This window comes from Homo sapiens, chromosome 9, assembly GCF_000001405.40.
Source record: "Homo sapiens chromosome 9, GRCh38.p14 Primary Assembly".
Classification (NCBI taxonomy): Eukaryota; Metazoa; Chordata; class Mammalia; order Primates; family Hominidae; genus Homo; species Homo sapiens.
The window spans coordinates 133,733,734-133,757,185 of NC_000009.12; the positions used below are offsets into that span (position 1 = coordinate 133,733,734).

The window sequence follows — 23,452 nt, forward strand, 5'->3', positions numbered from 1 at the left end:
CTTCCCCAGGCTGGTTGTTGTGAACCAAGAACTGTCCCAGCTAGCAATGGGCTGTGGCCCCTCGCTATGTCCTATCCTTCCCTGCCCCTACCTGGCCCCCGGTCCCTACCTGCCGTGTGCCAGGTGGTCCCGGAGGTCAGCCGCTCCCGCTCCAGCAGCACCGCCCCACTCATGCCCAGCTTGGCCAGGTGGTACAGGGTCTGGCAGCCCAAGCTGCCTCCACCAATGACCACCACGTTGGCCGTGCTGGGCAGGGGCCGGCTTGGGCCTTGGGCCACCACCGAGGTGCCCTGTCCCTCCTTCAGGGTCCGCTGATATGGCACACTCTTCTCGGCTGTGGGGCCAGCTGCGCTGGACAGGTTGCATGGCCCCATGCCCCGGGTAGGGCTCTGGCGAGGGTGGGCAGCAGCCACACGTAGGGCTCGGCTCAGTGAGGCCATGGGGGCTCCAGGCCTCAGCGAAACAGGGAGCTGGGGAGAGAATCAGAGCTGGGTGGGGTGCAGAGGGGACACGCTGGGGGCTGTGCTGAGTACCCAGGGAAATAAGGGCCCTATGGTGTTACCTCCCAGGGCCTTCCTCTTGCCACTTCCCCATGGCATTCATTCATTCACTCATTCATTCATTCATTCACTCATTCATTCATTCACTCATTCATTCATTCACTCATTCATTCACTCATTCATTCATTCATTCACTCATTCATTCACTCATTCATTCATTCATTCACTCATTCATTCATTCATTCATTCTGTGTGTATGTATTAAGGGCCTGGTATGCAGCAGGCTCTGTCAGTGCCCGGGAGCAACCTTGGTGAGGATAGGTCTCTGCCAGCCCACAGAAAAGACAGGGAGCGCCAAGCTCTGGGTAGAAGTGGGGGTCGGGGCCACAAGGGGAGGTAGAGAAGAGTGGGTGGCGTGGCTGGCAGAGATCCAAAGTGAGACCTGAGGAAAGTGGGCTGCCCCGTGAGGCCGGGCAGGGAGGATGGGGAGGGGACTGAGGACAGAGGACCAATAGCTGGAAAGGAGGGGCTCCGGTCTCAGGGACACTCACCCCCAGATCACAGACAGCGAGAGGCTGGGGCTGGGCGGGGGCCGTCCCGCCAGCCTTGAGAGCCCTTTCGGAGCTCAAGATGCTCCTGAGGGGCCAAGCAGCCCTGCTGCCCCACAGGTCTGTGCTGGGGCAGACCCCAGGTCCTGCGGGGTGGGGATGGGACCTGGGAGGCAGGAGTGCCCAGAGAAGGCGGTGGTAGTGGCACAGCAGGGCAGGGAGGGGGTTGTGTTGAGTGATGGAGACACTTGCGCTCCCAGACAGAGAGCCAGGAGGAGGGAGAGGCATCGTGGATGCTACAGCAGTGGCCGCAGGGTATCGGCAGGCAGCCTCGAGACGGGGCACCCAACCCCCAAGCCTGGAGCCAGCACCTCCTCCTGGGCAGGCCCCTCCCAAACCCAGACAAGAGGGGTTGCCCCCTCATCAGCCCCAAAGCTCGGTGGGACTAAGGCGGAAGCTGATGAAGGATGTGGTGTCCCGGCTCTGCTCCCTTGGGGCCACCTGGGATTGCAGAGTAGGGGCTCAGAAGCCGGGTTAACAGGCCTTCCTCCCCTCTGCTCCTTCCCAGCTGACCCACCCCGACTCCCTCCTCCTTCAGGAAACCCTCCCAGATCTGCCCAGCCAGAAAAATCCAATAACAATGAGAATGCAAGAGGGAGCCCTCCTTCTCAGGAGAGAAGGCGCTGATGAAGACGGATGTCTCCTTGGGTGCAGGCGAGGCAGGACAGGCAGTCAAAGGAGTCACCATGTCCTGGGGACGCAGCAACCGTGGTGACTGCAATCCACACAATCAGCCTCCACGTTTGCACTGTAACTGAGCTCGTGTTAACTGAGCTCGTTCAAGCAAAGCTGTCTGCAGTAGGGCCTTTCCCCTGGAGAGGGCATGTGCACATTGATTTTACCTGTCCTCAAACTGACCCTTTGCTCATTCTAATAGTAAAAAAACACACCCCTCGGTGGAGATTTTAAGATGCTAATGAGGCCGGGCTCTGTGGCTCATGCCTGTAATCCCAGCACTTGGGGAGGCCGAGGCAGGCGGATCACCTGAGGTCAGGAGTTTGAGACCAGCCTGACCAACATGGAGAAACCCCATCTCTACTAAAAATACATTAGCCGGGGGTGGTGGTGCATGCCTGTAATCCCAGCTACTCTGGAGGCTGAGACAGGAGACTTGCTTAAACCCGGGAGGTGGAGGCTGCAGTAAGCCGAGATTGTGCCATTGCACTCCAGCCTGGGCAACAAGAGTGAAACTCCGTCTCAAAAAAAAAAAAAAAAAGATGCGAAAGAGACATGTGACGTATGAACAAACATGTACAGCTACCGCATGTGCACCCAGAGGACCAGCCATCACATGCTGCCTAGTAACCTCTTCCTCTCTTTCCACCCACTTATGAATAATTGTGGAAGACTCCCTGAAAGGGGGTTTCTCCAACAATCATCAATGCTGCCTCACACTCAGGAGCAGCCCCCCGCCTGGAATCCTCTCTCTCCCAGGGTGCATCCGCACCTAACTTTCAAAATGTTCTTTTTCTTTTGCAATAAATTGCTCTATGTTGCAGCTCTTTTGCTGTGTGTCTCATGTTTAAATTCTGTTTTGTTGTTGTTGTTGTTGTTTGTTTGTTTGTTTGTTTTGAGAAAGAGTCCCACTCTGTCTTCCAGGCTGGAGTGCAGTGGCATGATCTTGGCTCACTGCAACCTCTGCCTCCTGGGTTCAAGCGATTCTCCCACCTCAGCCTCTCGAGTAGCTGGGATTATAGGTGCATGCCACCATGCCTGGCTAATTTTTGTATCTTTAGTAGAGACAGGGTTTCACCATGTTGGCCAGGCTGGTCTCGAACTCCTGACCTCAGGTGATCCGCCTGCCTCGGCCTCCCAAAGTGCTGGGATTACAGGCATGAGCCACTGTGCCCAGCCTAAATTCTTTAAACTAAGAAGTTAAGAACGGAGGTCTCACAACAGCCCTCAATGGAAGGGTGGGGTGGTGTCCTGCCCAGTGTGGACCTCCACTGCCCTTTTCTGGGATCTGCAGGAAAAGTGAAAGGGATGTGGCTGTGATCCAAGATGTGAAGTGCTGTGCCACCTACGTCAGTATGAATGACTGATATAATTATCTAAGAAAGTCAGCATCCTTTTTCAAGAGTGGACCATAGCTATGCACGTTCGTTCACTCTCATTGAACACCTATAGACACATGATAATGTCTCTACTTCACAGCGGGGGAGTCTGACACACGGAGAGGCTCCCTGAGGTGACCAGGGTCATAGGGCCTCCATGTGGCAGTGCCAGGGACTCTCTCCTGCCCCCTCTTCTGACCATCCCAGGGGGACTCAGGACCCACTGCCACACTCTGTCCCACCTGAACTGTGGGCACTGCCCAAGCCCTGACGAAGCCCAGAACCCTGTCCTAGGCACAGTGGGGGATGTGAGGGGGATCCCAGCTCTCAGGCTGGTCAGGGCTGCCCCCCATCTCCTGCCCCAGTGCCCCATCCCAAGGGAGGGAGCAGGGAGTCTGATTGCAGCGGCGTAGGGGAGTGAGGAGGTGTTGGAGCTTGTCCTCAGCCTCTCAGCCCTCAGTGTGTCAGCCCGCCTGGCTCCTGCCTGCAGAGGTGGCCCCGGACAAGGAGGCATGCCTCCTGCATGTGTCTGTACATACCTTCAGTCCTTGAAGGTCCACAGTCTTCCAGGAGCCCCCAAAAGTGGTGCCCCACCAGGGGAAAGCCAGCTTGAGTGGCACCGAGGAAGGCCCTCCAAGGCTGAACACCCCCACCCCACCACCCACCACCCACCACGGTGCCGCATGGCACAGCACACCTGGTCAGCTGTGGGCAAAAGCCTCCCTCCTCCTTCCGACTGTGCCCAAAAAGCGACAGCTGCTGGCGCCGGAGGCTGCCACGTGCCCCTTCACCACCTGCCTGGTCAGTCAGGGCTCTTCTGACTGTCAGACTGGGGGCTGGCAGCGGCCCCAGCGGGGACAGCCCAGAGCCCCTCCTGCCTGCCACCTCCCTGGAAACAGCTGCCTCCACATTAACCCACTCTCTTGCCCCCTCCAACTCTGTCTCGTACCTGAGTCAGCTTCCCAGGAGTGAGGGCTGAGGACAGCCCTGGGCTTGGGATCAGACAGATGGGTGGGGGTTTTGTCACAGGACTGGGGCCTCGAGCAACAACTTAACCTCACTGCAAAGCAGAGGACCCAGGAACGCCCTCCTCCTCCCAGGCTCAGGGGGTGGTGGGGGTCAAGCGAGGAGAGCGCCTGGCACCTTCGCCTGGTGAGGGTAGGCAGACTTGTGGGGAGGAGCGGCAGGGGGCGGGGAGGCAGCTGCCCATATGGTGAACCCTGGTCCTGCTCATGCAGCTGGATGGTCCCTGCAGCCAGAGGCAGAGGGAGATCCCAGCCAGATCTGACCAGGCCCAGCCCCGCCCACATAGGGGAGGCCCCAGCCTCGTCCCTCCCTGGGGGTGTACCTCCAAGTACCTCTTGTCAGCTGCAGTGCCCCTCGGCCCTAAGAGTGCTTGGCCCAGCAGAGGTGCCTTCACCTTCTTGCTTCCCAAGCAGTGGCCTGGCCGGAACTCCAGGCCTCCCCCGCCCCCCACCCTCGCTGCCAGCCCCATGTCTCCGCCCAGGATCTGGGCGGAGCGTACCGCCCACCACTGCGGCTTCTAGGCCAGCTTAGTTGGGGCTTCTAGGCCAGCCCTGTGGGCAGCTCCCTCTGAGGGCGGCAGAGCAGGGTTGTGAACCCCATGCCCCATTACCCGTAGGCGACCTGGCAGTCACCCTTCCGCTCCAACCCTCATTTCCTCGTCTCTGAAACAGGCGCCTCAGGGTTGCTGCAGTAGACCCAGGCACCACCTGCCTGCTGGAGCCGCCCGAGCTCCCCGCGCCCAGAAGGAGCTATGCACAGGCAGGGTGGGCAGGAAAGGTGGGGTCAGCAGCAGCTTGGGCCAGGGGCCCGTCCACTGCAGGGAGGCTCCTTTGGTGAGGTCATCTCAGCACATGCCCCAGTTTGCTCACCCCCAGGGACAGGATGCTCACTGCCTTCAGAGGCGAGTGAGAAGGCCTGGGTCAGCTTCCCAGGGACAGGGTCTCCTGGTCTGTCTGCGTCCTGCTTTCCCGAGCTCCCAGACCCCTCTGGTGTTTGGGGAGATGCCCCCAAGCCACTGGCTACTGCACAGCACGTAGCCCCCAGGGCAGGGATTCCAGCCTCCATTGACTGTTGGGGACAGCAGTGCCCAGGGAGGGGGCCACACAGCAAGCTGGTGGAGGAGGCAGACCGGATGCTGCAGCCTGACTCTGGGCTGGGGCAAGTTACCCCTTCCCAGACAGAAGTAGACACCCAGAGGAGGGGTGTGGAGGAAACCCAGAAAGAATACACCTCTGGATGCCCAAAGAATCAGAACAGGTGCTGATGGAAAGTCACATCTCCTCCTCGCGCTGGATCAAAGACGGGGCATTTCAATGGCAGTCTGTTAATATTGTAATGATGCCAGCTGCCAATACCGGAAGCGATCGTATAGTAAACTGCTGTAATTAATACCAATCAAATCATTGTGTTCTTATTCACACCGAGGATGTCCGACTGTCTTGTTGCCAGCTTGTCTATCCTCTACATTTACTGAATGCCCAATGTGTACAAAGCACTGCTGGGAAACCTATAGTGACATCTAAGACCCAGCCCCTGCCCTCGAGGGGCTCAGGGTCCACGAAGCAGACAGATCCAGGGAGAGACACGACACCACAAGGCTGGCTTCCTTCCAGCAGGGAATCCAGGAGGACCTCTTAGAGGAGGGGGCCTGGGCTCTGGGCCTGACCACGTGCTGACACCATTCTCAGTCCCTGCCTCAAAGGCAAAGGGCCCACTGGCTTAGGCCCCTGGCTGCCCAGTGGAAAGCTGGCCCCGCCAGTTTGAGGCTTACCTGGGGTGGTGTGGGGGTCCTGGGGCAGAGGACCTCCTCTTTGGATGGTGTGGCTTGCCCAGTGGCCTGAGCTAGGGCTGTGCTCACCCAACAGGGTGACGAATGAGCTCAAGAGGGCAAGGAAGGAGTGTGGCCCAAGTTCTCCCAGGAGTCCTGGACGTGCAAGTGCATGGGAGAAAAACGCAGCAGTCACCACAGCTCCAGGGCAGTGGCCGGGTAGCCCACACTTCTCCTGTCCCTGCACTCAAAGACAAGTTGCAACTGTTGCAAAACTGTTACAAGCCAAGAGGGCAGCACAATGAACCTGCACTTTGGACAAGGGGTGGTGGCTGGGGGCCGGTCCCGGCCTGTTAGCTGTCTGTTAGTATCGTAGGATTTTCATCCGGCAGGGCCTGTTAGCACCCAGCTCCGGTCTGGGAGAGGTGGAAAGGCTGTCTCCCCCCAGGGACTAGTAGTCACAGCTCTGGAGAGGCCAGGCTCCGGACAAGGAGGCCAAGACAGGGTCCTGTACGATCTCGGGCTGGTCTTATCACCTCTCCCTTTGCTGAGACTTAGTTTTCCCATCTTGGAACAGGAGGCTGGAAGCCCTGCCATGTCAGTTTCACAGAAGCCTTGTAAATTTCCCTGAGTAAATTTCCTTCAGTCCTGCTCTAGATCACACCAACAGAGGGGCTGCCACCTCAAAGAAGTCACCCCACCAGGGATAAAATCTACTTGATCACGGTGCATGATCTTTTTAATGTGCTGTTGAATTTGGTTTGCTAATTTTTTTTTTTTTTAGACGGAGTCTTGCTCTGTCGCCCATGCTGGAGTGCGGTGGCACGATCTCGGCTCACTGCAACCTCCGCCTTCCCGGTTCAAGCGATTCTCCTCCCTCAGCCTCCCAAGTAGCTGGGATTACAGGCACGCACCACCGTGCCCAGCTAATTTTTTGTATTTTTAGTAGAGACGGGGTTTGACCATGAATGGCCAAGCTGGTTTCGAACTCCTGACCTTAAGTGATCCCCCCACCTCGTCCTCCCAAAGCGTTAGGATTACAGGTGTGAGCCACCGCGCCCAGCTGGTTTGCTAATATTTTGAGAGGATTGTTGCATCTATGTTCATCAAGGATATCGGTCTATAATTTTCTTTCTTGTAATGTTATCTGGCTTTGGTATCAGGGTAATGCTGGTCTCGTAAAATGAGTATGACTCTATGTTTAGTGCACTCTGAAGAAAACTGTGGTGCAAATCAAAGTCACAGTTGACTCTACATTCAGGAGTGAGGGGCTGCCTCCAGGTTCACTGCCCTCCCCAGCCTCCCCGCCACCGCTCCAGTGGGGACTGTGGTAGACTTGTTCCTCTGCCCTCATGGCCTGGACATACCTGAGCCAACCCCAAGACTCTTCCTCTGGCTCAGGCTGGCCCTCTCTGCAGGCCCCCACCAGCCCTTGGCCCCGACTTGCTGGCCAGGCTTCCAGGACAGAGAGAGGTGCCTGCAGGCTGCCCTCTGACGGGGCAGAAGTCCAGGGAGGAAGAAGCGGAGGCGTTGGGGGAGGAGGCTCCTCCACCGAGCTCTGCGTGCAGCCCTGTGAAAGAGGACATGAGCAACAGCATCCCAACCCAAACTATAAGAGCCAACATCACCACTGACCAGGAGGAAGGCAGTGCCCCAGTCACCTCTGAGGGCCTCCTGGGAGTCAGGCAGCGTGCTAAAGGCTTCACACGTGTCATCTCAAATGAGACAGCAACAACTGCTACCCATCGTGGAGATGGGAAAACTGAGGGAGAACACAGCCAACAGGTGCCAGACCCAGGTGATTCATGGGCCAGGGAAATTTCCAGAACAATTTTCAAGGGCTGAATTTACACTGCCAAGATTTTATTTTTTCAATAAGAACCTGAAAAAGAAAACTACCACTGAATATCCCCGTGATTTCATGAAGACAGAATGTTTTCTATCCTCTGTCAAAGTAGAAGAGATGCCCTCCCAGGGTAAGGGTGGTCCTTCCTGAGAAGCAGGTGGCTGCCCCCATCTGCCTGACACCGATGCACAGAGGCAGGTGGAAATTGCTCCAGGCCTGAAGCCATCTGGGCACAGGCATTCCCAGGAATGAGCTGCTGAAGTGACCCCCACCTGGCAGTTGTGGCCTGGGGCCGTTGTGGGCTCGGGCTCCTGAGGGCCGGAATGCAGATCCTCATTCCCCGGAGCACCCTCTCCACTCCATGGCCTAACACTGTTTGTGAGTGAAAGAAACATGGTGGATGGAATCCGCGGTGGAATCCATGGAAACATGGTGGATCCCGGCGGCTGAGCCTATGCCAGGCAGGTGCCAGGAGTGCTTCAAAATCATCTCGGGGCCGGGCACGGTGGCTCACGCCTATAATCCCAGCACTATGGGAGGCCGAGGCAGGTAGATCATGAGGTCAGGAGATTAAGACCATCCTGGCTAACACGGTGAAACCCCGTCTCTACTAAAATTTTAAAAAAATATTAGCCAGGCGTGGTGGTGCGCGCCTGTAGTCCCAGCTACTTGGGAGGCTGAGGCAGGAGAATGGTGCGAACCCGGGAGGCGGAGGTTGCAGTGAGCCGAAATTGCGCCACTGCACTCTAGCCTGAGACTAGAGCTAGACTCTGTCTCAAAAAGAAGAAAAAAGAAAAGAAATCATCTCGGGGCACTGTGTCCATGGCCGCAGGCACTGCCACCGTCTGATGGGGACACAGGACATGGGGCTTCAGAAGGACTTCCTGCCCACAGTGGGGAGCTGACCTCAGCCCTGGCGTAGGGCCCCAGTCTGCACTGGGGATTTGGAGAGAAGGATGGAGAAGCAAGAGGGAGGGCAGAAGCTGGAAGCCTGGGCTCACCAGGGTCTGAGACCCACAAGCACCGCCTAGACCCCTCAGCTAGTCAGCCAAACCTTCCAGGGCTCTCATGTGCCTGCCCAAGGGCAGGGGATCCCTGGCATGACCCATGCTGTGCTTTGTGTCTTTGTATGTGTTGCCCTGGAAACTCCCTGTAAAAATCCAGATTTCCAAGCTTCAATCTTGAAAAGCTGGCCACATGGGGCCCAAAACCCACTGGACACACTTAGGTGGGTCACTCCTACTCCAGCTGGCCACAGTTCTTACCCTGCATTTTGCCCTTTTGCATTTCCCGCTGGCATCTGGGAGCTTTGCCCTTCCAGCACTGACCAGGACTCCCAGCACTGACCAGGACTCTCCATCCAGCTGCAGGAGCAAGAGTAACCTTCAAAGGAGATGCTGGTGCTGGCTGGGCAGCCAGGGAACTGTGCGTCTTGCACAGAACGGAGGGTGGGAGGACTGTGCAGTGCTCTCTTTGGGCCCCAGAATCTGAATGCCCTTCCAGATACTCAGGTGAGGGCAGCAGCCCACCACGGATGAAAGTCACTGGTCACCTCCAGGCTGTCTGCCCTGGAAGAGTAGCCTTGGCAGGAAACACCGCCCCTGGTGGCCACACGTGAGTATTACAACCTGGCGGAGCTGGACCCAGTCTCAGAAGGGGACTAGCAGGCAGATAGGGGGTGATCTTACACTGGTTGGGACTGACAGCCTAGGCTCAGCCTGGCTCCTATCTTCTCTTCCAGACCACACCAGCAGAGGGGCTGTCACCTCAAAGAAGTCACCTCCGCCAAGGATAAAATCCACTTGATCAGGATGCATGATCTTTGTAACGTGCTGTTGAATTTGGTTTGCTAATATTTTGGTGAGGATTTTTGCATCTCTGTTCATCAAGGATATTGGCCCATAATTTTCTTTTCTTGTAATGTCCTTGTCTGGCTTTGGTATCAGGGTAATTCTGGCCTCATAAAATGAGTTTGGAAGTGTTCCTTCCTCTTGAATTTTTTGGAAGAGTTTGAGAAGAATCAGCATTAATTCTTTCTTAAATGTTTGGCAGAATTCACCAGCGAAGGCATCAGATATCCTGGGCTATTTTTTGTTAGGAGGTGTTTGATCACTGATTCAATCTCCTTACTCATTATTGGTCTGTTCAGATTTTCTAGTTTTTTGTTTGTTTGTTTTGTTCTTGTGTGTTTGTTTTTTTGAAGTGGAGTCTTGCTCCCGTCACGCAGGCTGGAGTGCAGTGGCACGATCTCAGCTCACTGCAACCTCCACCTCCCGAGTTCAATTGATTCTCCTTCCTCAGCCTCCTGAGTAGCTGGGATTACAGCCTGCACTACCATGCCCGGCTAATTTTTGTATTTTTAGTAGAGACGGGGTTTCACCATGCTGGCCAGGCTGGTCTCCTGACCTCAGGTGATCCACCCGCCTTGGCCTCCCAAAGTGCTAGGATTACAGACGTGAGCCACCACGCCCTGGCCGATTTTCTAGTTTTTTTTGGGATTCAGTCTTGGTCGGCTGTCTGCTTCTAGCAATTTATTCATTTCTAGGTTATCCAATTTGTTGGCATAGTTGTCTATTATTTCTTTGGTATCAATTGTAATCTTTCCTCTTTCATTTATAATTTTCTTATTTATCTGAGTCTTTTTTTATTTTAGTCTAGCCTAAGGTTTGTGGGTTTTGTTAACCTTTTCAAAAAAACTCAACTCTTAGTTTTGTTGATCCTGTCTATTGTTTCTTAAGTCTGTATTTCATTTATTTCTGCTCTGATCTTTCTTTCTTTCCTTCTGCTAACTTTGGCCTTAATTTGTTCCTCATTTTATAGTTCCTTGAGGTGTGAAGTTAGGTTGTTTATTTGAGATCATTCTTAACGTAGGCATTTATTGCTATAAACCTCCCACCTAGAATCACTTTTGCTGCATCCTATGAGGTTTGGTATGTTGCATTTCCATTTTCATTTGCCTCAAGATATTATTTTATTTCCCTTTTGATTTCTTATTCCACTCATTGGTTGTTCAGGACTGTGTTGTTAAATTTCCACACATGTCCGGCCGCCATCCCATCTAGGAAGTGAGGAGCGTCTCTGCCCGGCCGCCCATCGTCTGAGATGTGGGGAGCACCTCTGCCCCGCCGCCCCGTCTGGGATGTGAGGAGCGCCTCTGCCCGGCTGCAACCCCGTCTGGGAGGTGAGGAGCGTCTCTGCCCGGCCGCCCCGTCTGAGAAGTGAGGAGACCCTCCACCCGGCAGCCACCCCGTCTGGGAAGTGAGGAGCGTCTCCGCCCGGCAGCCGCCCCTTCCGGGAGGGAGGTGGGGGGTTCAGCCCCCTGCCCGGCCAGCCGCCCTGTCCGGGAGGGAGGTGGGGGGTCAGCCCCCCGCCCGACCAGCCGCCCCGTCCGGGAGGTGAGGGGCGCCTCTGCCCGGCCGCCCCTACAGGGAAGTGAGGAGCCCCTCTGCCCGGCCACCACCCCGTCTGGGAGGTGTGCCCAGCAGCTCATTGAGAACGGGCCATGATGACAATGGCGGTTTTGTGGAATAGAAGCGGGGGAAAGGTGGGGAAAAGGTTGAGAAATCGGATGGTTGCCGTGTCTGTGTAGAAAGAAGTAGACATGGGAGACTTTTCATTTTGTTCTGTACTAAGAAAAATTCTTCTGCCTTGGGATCCTGTTGATCTGTGACCTTACCCCCAACCCTGTGCTCTCTGAAACATGTGCTGTGTCCACTCAGGGTTGAATGGATTAAGGGCGGTGCAAGATGTGCTTTGTTAAACAGATGCTTGAAGGCAGCATGCTCCTTAAGAGTCATCACCACTCCCTAATCTCAAGTACCCAGGGACACAAACACTGCGGAAGGCCGCAGGGTCCTCTGCCTAGGAAAACCAGAGACCTTTGTTCACTTGTTTATCTGCTGACCTTCCCTCCACTATTGTCCTATGACCCTGCCAAATCCCCCTGTGCGAGAAACACCCAAGAATGATCAATAAAAAAAAAAAAAAAAAAAAATTTCCACACATGTGTAAAATTTCCACTTTTCCTCCTGTTATTGATTTCTAGTTTTATACCATTGTGGTTGGAAACGATACTTGATATGATTTCAATCTTCTTAAATGTGTTAAGACTTGTTTTGTGAGCTAACATATGATCTTTCCTGGAGAATGTTCCATGTGCACTCGACAAGAATGTGTGTTCTGCTGCCATTGGATGGAATGTTCTGAATCTATCTGTTAGGGCCATTTGGTCTGTAGTGTTGCTCAAGTCTCCTGTTTTCTTATTGATTTTCCAGCTGGATAATCTGTCCACTGTTTAAAGTGCTGAAGTCCTCTACTATTATTGTAATCTATTTTCCCTTCAGTTATGTTAATATTTGCTTTACAGAGTTAGGTGCTCCCATGTTGGGTGTATATATATATATAGAGAGAGAGAGAGAGAGAGAGAGAGAGACAGAGAGACAGAGAGACAGAGTCTTGCTCTGTTGCCCAGGCTGGAGTGCCGTGGCATGATCTCGGCTCACTGCAACCTCCGCCTCCCAGGTTCAAGCGATTCTTCTGTCTCAGCCTCCTGAGTAGCTGGGACTACAGGCACGCACCACCACACCTGGCTAATTTTTGTATTCTTTTAGTAGAGACAGGGTTTCACCATATTGGTCAGTCTGGTCTCGAACTCCTGACCTTGTGATCTGCCCGCCTTGACCTCCCAAAGTGCTGGGATTACAGGCGTGAGCCACCGTGCCCAGCCTAGTGCATGTATTTTTTGAATTGTTATATCCTCTTGATGAATTGATCCATTTATCATTATATAACAACTGTCTTTGTCTCTTGGGATAGTTTTGATTTAAAGTCTATTTTGTCTGATATAAGTGTAGCCACTTATGTTCTCTTTTGCTTCTCATTTGGATAGAATAACATTTTTCAGCTTATCTGTGTCCTTAAAGCTAAACCAAGTCTCCTGTAAGCAGCATATAGTTGGATTTTGTTTTGTTTTGTTTTTTAATCCATTCAGCTGCTTAGTGGCTTCTGAGTAGATAATTTAATCAATTTAAATTTAAAGTAATTATTAATAGGTAAGGACTTATTACTGCCATTTTGTTAATTGTTTTCTGATTGTTTTGTAGTCTCATTGTTCCTATCTTCCTCTCTCACTGTCTTTATGAGATTTTTTTTTTTTTGTAGTGGTATGCTTTGACTCCCTTTTATCTTTTGTGGGTCTACTACAGTTATTTTTCTTTGTGGTTACCAGGAGGTTTATATACAACATTTTATAGTTATAACAGTTTAAGCTGATAACAACTAAACTTTAGCCACATACAAAAACTCTACACTTTAATTTCTCCTCTCCCACATTTTATGTTATTGGGGTCATACTTTACATCTTTTATATATTGTGTATCCATTAACAAATTATTGCTATAATTATTCTTTAAATTTTATACTAGAGTTAAAATAATTTATGTATCACCATTACAATATGCTATGCTTTGGATGTTTTTGTCTTCTACAAAATTCATATTAAAATTTAGTCCCCAGTGCAACAGTATTGGGAAGTGTGTCCTTTGGGGTGTTTACTTCATGATGGCTCTGCCATTATAAAAGGGATTGATGGAAGAAGTTTGTCCCCTTTTGCTCTTCTACCCTCTGCCTCTGCCGTGTGAGAATGTAGCAAGAAGACCCTCACCAGACACCAGATGCTGATGCCTTGATCTTGGACTCCCCAGCTTCCAAAACTGTGAGAAATACATTTTTGTTCTTTATAAATTACCCGGTCCGTGTCATCCTGTTACAGCAGTGCAAAATGGACTAAGACACAGTGGCAGAGTACTCCCAATTTGACTATATTTTTATCTTTACAGAGTTTTTATACTTTTGTGTCTTCATGTTGTTACTGTCCTTTCATTTCAACTTGAGAAACTCCCTTTAGCATTTCTTGTAAGGCAGTGATAATGAACTCCCACAGCTTTTGTTTGTTTGGGAAAGCCTTTATCTCTCCTTCATTTCTGGACATCTTTCCCAAGGTTGACAGTTTTATCCTTCTAGCCCTGTGAATATATGATCCCACTCTCTCCTGGCCTATGAGATTTCTTCTGAGAAATTCACTGATAATCTCCTAGGGGTTTCCTTGTATGTGATGAATTGCATTTCTCTCACTGCTTTCAAATTTATCTCTGTCTTTGGCTTTTGAGAATTTCTCTTTTTTGAAGATTTTTATTTTTAATTTTTGTGGGTACACAGTAAGTGTATACATTTATGGGGTACATGAGATGCTTTGATACAGTTATGCAATATGAAATAGGCACATCATGGAGAATGGGGTATAAATCCCCTCAAGTATTTATCCTTTGAGTTACCAAAAATCCAATTACACTAAGTTATTTTAAAGTGTACAATTAAGTTAATTTGACTTCTACCTTTCCATTGTGGTTGCCCTTTATATCTTTCTCTTGTCTGATTGTTCTAGCTATGACTTCTAGTACTATGTTGAACAACAGTGATGACAGTGGCATCCTTGTCATGTTCCAGATTTTAGAGGAAAGGGTTTCAGTTTTTCCCCATTCAGTATAATCCTAGCTGTGGGTCTTTTGTATATGGCTTTTATTATGTTGAGGTATGTTCCTTCTATCCCCAGTTATTTTTTTGTTTGTTTTTTGGTTTTTTGTTGTTTTTTTTTCTTTGAGATGGAGTCTCGCTCTGTTGCCCAGGCTGGAGTGCAGTGGCACGATCTCCGCTCACTGCAAACTCCGCCTCCCAGGTTCATGCCATTCTCCTGCCTCAGCCTCCTGAGTAGCTGGGACTACAGGTGCCCACCACCACACCTGGCTAATTTTTTGTATTTTTAGTAGAGACAGGGTTTCACCATGTTAGCCGGGATGGTCTTGATCTCCTGACCTCGTGATCCACCCACCTCGGCCTCCCAAAGTGCTGGGATTACAGGCGTAAGCCACTGCGCCCAGCCCTTCTATCCCTAGTTTTTAATTTTTTTTTAAAATTATGAAGGGACATCGAATTGTATTAAATGCTTTTTCAGCAGTAGCAATTGAAATGGTCATATGGTTTATATTCTTCATTCTGTTGATATGTATCACGTTAATTGATTTGCATATGTTGAACCATTTGCATATGATGTATCCCACTTGGTCGTGATGAATGATCTTTCTAATGTATTGTTGAATTTGGTTCGTTAGTATTTTACTGAGGACTGTTATATCAATATTCATCAGAGATATTGGCCTGTAGTTTTCTTTTTATGATGTGTCTTTGTCTGGTTTCAGTATCAAGGTAATACTGGCCTCATAGAATTACTTTGAAAGTATGCTCTTACTGAATTGACCCCCTCATCATTATATAGTGACCTTGTCTCATACTATAGTTTTTGTCTTGAAATCTATTTTGTCTGATATAAGTATAGCAACTCCTGCTCTTTGGTTTCCATGGAATATCTTTTTCCATCCATTTATTTTAAATCTCTGTGTATTTTTATAGGTGAAGTATGTTTCTTGTAGGCAACAGGTCAATGGTCCTGTTTGTTCATCCATTCAGCCAGTCTATGTCTTTCAATTGGAGCGTTTAGTCCATTTACATTCAGTGTTATTATTGATAAGTAAGGGCTTATTCCTGCCATTTTGTTTTCTGATTGTTTTGTGGTCTTCTCCTTCTTCTATCTTTCCTCCCTGTCTTCCTCTAGTGAAGGTGATTTTCTCTGGTGATATGATTTAGTTTCTTGCTTTTTATATTTTGTGTACCCATTGTATGTTTTTTGGTTTGAGGTTACCATAAGACTTGCAAATACTATCTTATAACCCATGATTTTAACCTGATAACAACTTAACACTATCTGCATAAACGAATAAGCAAAAAGAAAACTAATAAAGACTCTATGCCTTCACTTCATCCCTGTTTTTTAACTTTTTGTTGTTTCTATTTATATTTTATTATACTGAATATGTCCTGGAAAGTTATTGTAGTTATTCTTTCTGATTGGTTCATTGTTTCATCTTTCTACTTAGGATAAGAGTAGTTTACACACCACAGTTACAGTGTTATAACATTCTGTGTTCTTCTGTGTATTTACTATTACCAGTGAGTTTTATACCTTCAGGTGATCATTTATTGCTCATTAATGTTCTTTTCCTTCTGATCAAATTACTCCCTTTAGCATTTCTTGTAGGACAGGTCTGGTGTTGGTGAAATCCCTAAGCTTTTGTTTGTCTGGGAAAGTCTATTTCTCCTTCATGTTTGAAGGATATTTTCACTGGATATACTAGGGTAAAAGGTTTTTGTGTTTTTTTTTCCTTCACCACTTTAAGTATGTCATGCCTCTGTCTCCTGGCCTGTAAGGTTTCTACTGAAAAGTCTGCTGCCAGACGTATTGGAGCTCCATTGTATGTTATTTGTTTCCTTTCTCTTGTGGCTTTTAGGATCTTTTCTTTGTCCTTGACCTTTGGGATTTTGATTATTAAATGCCTTGAGGTAGTTTTCTTTGGGTTAAATCTGCTTGGTGTTCTATAACCTTCTTGTACTTGGATATCAATCTCTTTCTTTAGGTTTGGGAAGTTCTCTATTATCCCTTTGAATAACTTTCTACCCCTATATGTTTCTCTACCTCCTCTTCAAGGCTAATAACTCTTAGATTTGCCCCCTTTGAAGCTATTTTCTAGATCCTGTAGGGGTGCTTCATTGCTTTTATTCTTTTTTGTCTCCTCTGACTGTGTATTTTCAAATAGCCTGTATTCGAGCTCACTAATGCTTTCTTCCGCTTGATCAATTCTGATGGTAAAGGATCCTGGTGCAATCTTCAGTATACCAATTGCATTTTTCAGCTTCAGAATTTCTGCTTGATTCTTTTAAATTATTTCAGTATCTTTGTTAAATTTATCTGATATAATTCTGAACTCCTTCTCTGTGTTTATCTTGAATTTCTTTAAGTCTCCTCAACACAGCTATTTTGAATTCTCTGTCTGAAAGGTCACATATCTCTGTTTTTCCAGAATTGGTTCCTGGTGCCTTATACTTAGTTCATTTGGTGAGGTCATGTTTTCCTGGATGCGGTTGATGCTAGTAGATGTTTTTTGGCGTCTGGGCATTGAAGAGTTAGGTATTTATTATAGTCTTCTCTGTCTGGGCTTATTTGTAGCCATCCTTCTTGGGAAGGCTTTCCAGATTTTGAAAATACTTGGATGTCGTGATCTAAGCTGTATCTGCTTTAGGGGGCACCCCAAGCTTAGTAATTCTGTGGTTCTTGCAGACTCGTAGAGGTACTGCCTTGATGGTCTTGGAAAAGATCCAGGAGAATTCTCTGGATTATCAGGCAGAGACTCTTGTTCTCTTCCCTTTCTTTCTCCCAAACAAACAGAGTCTCTCTCTCTCTGTTCTGAGTCACCTAAAGCTGGGGATGGAGTGACAAAAGCACCCCTGTGACCACCACCACTATGACTGCACTGGGTCAGACCTGAAGCCAGTACAGCACTGGGTCTTGCCCAAGGCCTGCTGCTCTAAACTCCATGGCTATTGCCTATGTTCACTCAAGGCCCTGGGGCTCTACAATCGGAAGGTGGCAAAGCCAGCTAGGCCTGTGTCTTTCCCTTCAGGGCAGCAAGGTCCCCTAGGCCTCAGGTGGGTCCAGAGGTGCCATCTGGGAGTCAGGGACTAGCGTCAAAAAGTTTAGAAGTCTACCTGGTGTTCTACTGTATTGTGGCTGAGCTGGCACTCAAACCACAAGCAGCAGTCCTTCCCACTCTTCCCTCTCCTTTCCAAAGGCAGAGGAGCCTCACCCCATCCACCACCACCCCAGGCCGTGAGGAGTACTGCCAGACTACCAGCCAATGTTCCCTTAAGACCCAAGGTCTCTTAAGTCAGGTCGTGGTGAATGCTGCCTGGCCTGGGACTCACTGTTCAGGGCAATGGGCTCTCCTCTGGCCCAGGACACATCCAGAAACGCTGTCCAAGAGTCAAGTCCTGGAATCGAGGACCTCAAGGGCCCATCTGGCGCTCTACCCCACTGTGGCCGTGCTGGTACTTGAAGCCAGCAAGTCTCAGAGGCTCACCCAAGGCCCTCAACTTATAGTACCTGGGTATCACTGCTGGTTATTGAGGGCCCAAGGGCTCTTCAGTTAACAGGCGATTGAGAATGCTTCCAGGACTGGGTCCTTCCCTTCAAAGTAGCAGGTTCCCTTCTGACCCAGGGTGTGTCCAGAAATGTCATCTGGGAGCTTGGCCTGGAACAGGGACCTCACGACTCTGACCAGTGCCCTATCCTGTTGTGGCTGAGCTGGTATCCAAGATGCAAAACAAAGTCCTCCCCACTCTTCCTTGTCCTCTCCTCAAGCGGAAGAAAGGGGTCTCTTTTAGACCCACAAGCTGTGCAGCCTAGGATTAAGGGAGGGCTGACGCCAGAACCCTCTTGGCTGCCCCAGCTGGTGTCTCAGTATGTTGCATGCTCCCCTGCCCCCTGCCCCACGAGTCCACTGTCTCTGGGCCTAGTTCAGCACTGGGACTCACCTAAGAGTTGCAGTCCTTATGTTGAAGACCTAGATTACCTCTCAAGTTTACTTGCAGACACAAACCCAGTGTCTCTTCAAATATTGCTTCTTATCCATTCTACTTCCTCATCCATTTTACTTTCTTCTTCTGGAATTTGTCTAAATTATATGTACATTGGAACTTCTCCTTCCATCTCCGTCTTCATTAGTTTCATCTCTGCATCGTCAAGGATGTCATTAGAACTATTTTCCAGTTCACCGATTCTTTCTTGTCCAATCCAAGGTTAAACCCATACATTATGATGTAAATATCTGTGGTACAAAAGGGCTGCTTGACCCTGAGAGCTCACTGTGATAAACAGCGAGACACCAAGGGCCATTTTCCTTCTCTCAGAGAGGCTGCTCCAAAATCCAGCTTCCCCCAGGACCAAGAACTTCCTTCTGTTAGCAAAGGGAGCTACAAGTTCCCCTGCACTCCAAGGTCCTAGGGGGCTGGGCAGCAGGCATTCTCTGAAAGCTCCCAGAAGCCACTGGAACCCAAGTCGTTTCCTGTTTCCTCCACCTGACAAGCCATTTTCTCATGTTTGCGCTATAAGAAGGTAGTCATGGGGTGGAGGCGACAGTGTCTTTCTCTGGAATGCAAACCCACTGTGTGTCTAACAGTGGCATTGGCCTTCCTGCACGCCTAGTAAATGTCCCCCCAACTGCACCTCTTCCTTGGGCCACACCATGCGATGTGGCATCCATTCCAAATCCAATTTCCTGCCAGTTCCAACCGAGATTTTGCAGCACTAGAAGTTCTGCTTGATCTTTTCCCAACCGACTTGGTTATTTTCAGAGTTTCTTGCTCTTTACACGTATTTCCAATCCTTTCTATTCTGCATCACACACAACTATTTTGTATTCTACTTCTGTGGATCTGATTCTGCACCCCGTGGTTTTTGCTGCCACTGTGCGGTGCATCTTGTTTCCTTGGATGATCTATGCTTTTTGACAGTTAATGTGTATTTCTTAGAACATTACCTCTGGGGATTATTTGAGGCTGAAAGTGGATTTGCATTTCCTTTTTCCAGGCACCCAGGAGAGCCAAAAATCCCCGTATTCTACTTTAAACTCTTAGCTCCAGGTTTTTCGAACCAAAGGAAGTGTAATTTCAGGCTGGAACCTTCTTAGGTGTCAAATCAGAGTTGCACATCGTATTACTGGTGCAGTACAAAGTACCACACACTCCATGGCTGGAACAACAATTTGTTGTCTCATAGTTCTGGAGGCCCAAAGTCCAAGATATGAGTGTCGGCAGGGTTGGTTCCTTCTGGAGGCTCTAGGGGAGAATCTGTTCCATGCCTCTCCCTTAGTGCCTGGTGGTTGCTGGCAATCTTTGATGTTCCTTAGCTTGTAGATATGTCATCCCAATCTCTGTCTCCATCTTCACACAGTGTTCTCTCTGTGTGCAGGTCTCTCTCTGTGTCCAAGTTCCCCCTTTCTACAAGGACCCCGGTAAGACTGGATTAGGGTCTGCCCTAATGACCTCATCTTAAATTGATTACATCTGTAAAGACCCTATTTCCAAATACGATCACATTTACAGGTATTGAGAGCTAAGAGTTTCAAGATGGGGGGTGGGGCACAATGCAATCTGTAACACGTGCTCTCAGGTTAGTTCTCTTTCCACCCACTGTCAATAAGGAAGGAGACCACTACTACTTCTGCTGCCCTCCTCCCCCAACTTTGCCTAGTTCACAAGACAGGAGGAAAGAGAGAAAGCAAAAAATTAGAAATAAACAGAAGTAAGATAAATAGCCAGACAACCTTGGCACCACCACCCGGCCCTAGGAGTTAAAAAAAAGTAATAATAATAATATCAACCCCTAACCTAAACTACTTGTGTTATCTGTAAATTCCAGACATTGTATGAAAAAGCATTGCAAAACTTTGTTCTGTTCGCTGATGCATGCAGGCCCCAGTCACGTTTCCCATGCTTGTTCGATTTATCACGACCTTTTCACGTGGACCCCTTAGAGCTAGCTATAAGCCTTTAAAAAGGCCAAGAATTTCTTTTTCAGGGAGCTCGGCTCTTAAGACGCAAGTCTGCTGATGCTCCCGGCTGAATAAACCTCTTCCTTCTTTAATTCGGTGTCTGAGGAGTTTTGTCTGCGGCTCATCCTGCTACATCAAGGTACAAGAAAGAGAATTTCCTGTGCTACATCAAGGTACAAGAAAGAGAATTTCCTTTGCAATCCCTTGGTGGTGGTGGTGGCAGCAGTGTGTGTATGGAGGTGGGTATTTCTACTCTTCCTGATGTTGGGGGTGAGGCCTGTTGGGGTCCCGGCTTTAAAGAGGGGCTTGCCTTGGGTGGGCCCTGGGTTTTGTCTCGCTCGCACGCCCAGCCAGGTGATAAAGATTGGCCCTTAAGCTCACCCAGTTGGGCAAACACCCATAAGGAGGAAGCCAGCCCCCCCGTCTGGATTCCTGCCTTTACTTCGGCATGTGTTTTTCTTTATCACCAGCTCATTGATGGAATTACAAATATGTTCCCAGTGTTTTTGTTGTCTTATCAGAAGGGTTGATCAGGATATGTAACCTACTGCAAAAGACAGAATAATGGCCCCCCCGAAAGATATCCATGTTCCAGACTACGTCACAGTCTGGAACCTGTCAATGTGTTACCTTTCACTGCAAAAGAGACTTTGAAGATGTGATCCAGGGAGATTGTCCTGGATCATCTGAGTGAATCTAATCATATGAGTCCTGAAAAGTGGAGACCCCTTCCCAGCTGTAACCCGAGGGAGACAGCTGTGACTTTGGAAGAGGGGCCAGAGAGATGCCACTATGCTGGCTTTGAAGATGGAGCATGGCGCCATGATTCAACAGATGCAGCAGCTTCTAGAAGCCGGAAAAGGGAAGGCAATGGTTTCCCCCTGGGGCCTCCAGGAAGGAACGTAACTCTGCTGACACCTCCATTTCAGCCCAGCGAGACCTAGGCTGGGCTTCTATGACCTACAGAACCATGAGATAATAAATGTGTTGTGTTAAGCCCCCACGTGTGTAATTTGTGACACAGCGATAGAAAAATGAATGCACACACTGCTGGAGGCAGAAGGCAAGCCTCTGGAGACAACACGCATTGCTCCTTCCCTGGCCGGAAACTGTATTACTATTTTTTTATCTTCCTCACCCTTCCTTTCTCTCATCTTCATCCAACTTTAATTCATTATCTTTCTTGGTGTTTGTATTTGTGCCGTGAAGTCTACTTATGCCTCCATCACTCGATTTTCCAGGTAAAAGTCAAGAAATATCATTGAAGCCCGACAAACGGAGGAAACCAGTGCCTCTGTCCTCCCCAACCCGCTCCTCTTTCCCTTCCCCACTGTCTTTATCTCTTTTTGTCTTGTTTTCCTCTAATTTAGTCTTGAGGCCTCTCTCTGGAGAGGTCATATCCATGTCATCCACCTTCCAGGAGAGGCTGGACCCAGAGGAGAGTGAGGCTGGGGCGTGTGGCTCAGGTGGACACAGAGGAGGCAGCGGCACAGGACACATGGAATCAGAGCAGCGCACTCCTTCCAGATCCAGAGAGAGAGGGCTGTGCCTCTTGGGGCTGATAAGAGGGGATAGTCCAGAACACACATGCTAAACCACCAGTGGGGAGAGGGAGAGGGAGAAAGAGGGAGGGTGGGGGAGAGAGGGAAAGGGAGAGAGGGAGACAGGGAGAGAGAGGGAGAGAGGGGGAGAGGGGGAGAGGGGGAGAGAGAGGGAGACAGGGAGAGAGAGAGAGGGTGAGTGAGAAAGATGGAGAGGGAGAAAGGGAGAGAGAGACACCTGTGGGCCAAAGTCTTTATTGGGGTCCAGGGTGTTACCCAAGCAGCTTTCCCACAAGGGTTCTGATTGGTGGGGTTAGGACAGGCAGCCTCAAGGTCTCTGGTTGCCGACTGACTGAGAGGCCATCACTGTGGCCTGCCTGCATGGCCACACAGTGGGTGGGTCGGTCCAGCAGGCTGTTCCAGCTGTTCCACAGCGAGGTGGTCACCAGGAGGCGGTGGCACAAGACAGATGTCTGGATCGACCACACTGAGGAACTGGGGGAGTGCTGCAGGCACAGAACTATAAACTGTGGCCGGGCGCGGCGGCTCACACCTGTAACCCTGACACTTTGGGAGGCTGAGGCAGGTGGATCACCAGATGTCAGGAGTTCGAGACCAGCCTGGCCAACATGGTGAAACCCCATCTCTACTAAAAATACAAAAATTAGCTGGGCGTGGTGGCGGACGCCTGTAATCCCAGCCACTTGGGAGGCTGAGACAGGAGAATCGCTTGAACCCAGGAGGCGGAGGTTGCATTGAGCCGAGATCGTGCCGCTGCACTCCAGCCTGGCAACAGAGCAAGACTCCGTCTCAAAAACGGAAACGAAAACAACAATAAAAAAACTGTAAACTGTGTCGAGGGTGACGAGCCCTGCTTCTGGTGTGAGAGAGTTAAACTTATATTCAAAATGGACATCAAAGCAACAGGTATAAGAACTCACTATACTTCTTTACATTCGTGATTGCCTTCTGCAGGGCTTACCACAGCTGCCTAGCAGCAGCACCTCTCCCACCGCGTTGAAGACTTGTTTCTGTGCTTTCTCCAATTTCTTTCTTTCAAATCTGGTATTGAAGACATGGAATGCTCAGATACACAGACGAGGCTGCACAGGCCCATTCAAGAACCAGAGCGTCCAGAAGCAATTCACATGCTGTAAACCGGCTTTTCCTTTCTTCCCTTTGACTTTTTTCTCCTTTTCTATTTGAAGTCTTTTATTTTCACGAGAGTCTTGCAGGGTAGAAGTAATCTAAATACCTATGTGTCCGGAAAACATAATCTTTTTTTTTATAAAAATAAATATTCTGCACAATTTATAAAAGGCTAATTTCTGAAATTTTAAAATCTTCAGGTTATACTTCTTAAGCTATTCCGAGCTGTCTGTTTTCGAGGTTTTGGAGTACTGCTATGATGTTTTGGAGTACTTTCGAGGTTTTGGAGCACTACTAGAAGTTTGGAAAACTACTATGATGGCCGGGGGTGGTGGCTCACGCCTGTAATCCCAGCACTTTTGGAGGCCGAGGCGGTCGGATCATGAGGTTAGGAGTTCAAGACCAGCCTGGCCAAGATGGTGAAACCCCGTCTCTACTAAAAATACAAAAATTAGCCAGGCGT

General features: G+C 49.6%; 1 protein-coding gene across 11 annotated transcripts in view, besides 3 other annotated features; it reads right to left on the reverse strand.

Annotated features, from left to right (window-relative positions):
• The window catches only part of SARDH (sarcosine dehydrogenase), an 80,538-nt gene extending 74,316 nt beyond the window's left edge, over positions 1 to 6,222 (reverse strand). For 6 of the 11 annotated variants that reach the window (XR_001746217.2, XR_001746216.2, XR_001746213.2 and 3 more), the window contains exons 1-2: positions 5,960 to 6,222; positions 110 to 470 (exon numbers count right to left, since the gene is read on the reverse strand). Coding sequence is in view for 7 of the 11 variants with exons in the window: in XM_017014367.2 (XP_016869856.1) it covers positions 110 to 440 (331 nt within the window). In the remaining 4 variants the exon portion in view is untranslated. Of the gene's footprint in view, positions 1 to 109; positions 489 to 4,520; positions 4,620 to 5,959 lie in introns of those variants that run through there. The other 5 variants (XM_047422896.1, NM_001134707.2, XM_047422897.1 and 2 more) reach the window with 3 other exon arrangements.
• Positions 9,342 to 9,492: a silencer, noted in NCBI's record as "fragment chr9:136608197-136608347 (GRCh37/hg19 assembly coordinates)". NCBI's record gives its function as "represses an EF-1alpha promoter that drives an FKBP-Casp9 reporter gene in an ReSE screen in HepG2 liver carcinoma cells {active_cell/tissue: HepG2}" and the evidence as "EXISTENCE:reporter gene assay evidence [ECO:0000049][PMID:32094911]".
• Positions 9,504 to 9,563: an enhancer, noted in NCBI's record as "active region_29248". NCBI's record gives its function as "activates an Ori minimal core promoter by ATAC-STARR-seq in GM12878 lymphoblastoid cells {active_cell/tissue: GM12878}" and the evidence as "EXISTENCE:reporter gene assay evidence [ECO:0000049][PMID:35858748]".
• Positions 11,934 to 12,228: an enhancer, noted in NCBI's record as "tiled region #10163; HepG2 Activating DNase matched - State 5:Enh". NCBI's record gives its function as "activates a minimal TATA promoter and a strong SV40 promoter by Sharpr-MPRA in HepG2 cells {active_cell/tissue: HepG2}" and the evidence as "EXISTENCE:reporter gene assay evidence [ECO:0000049][PMID:27701403]".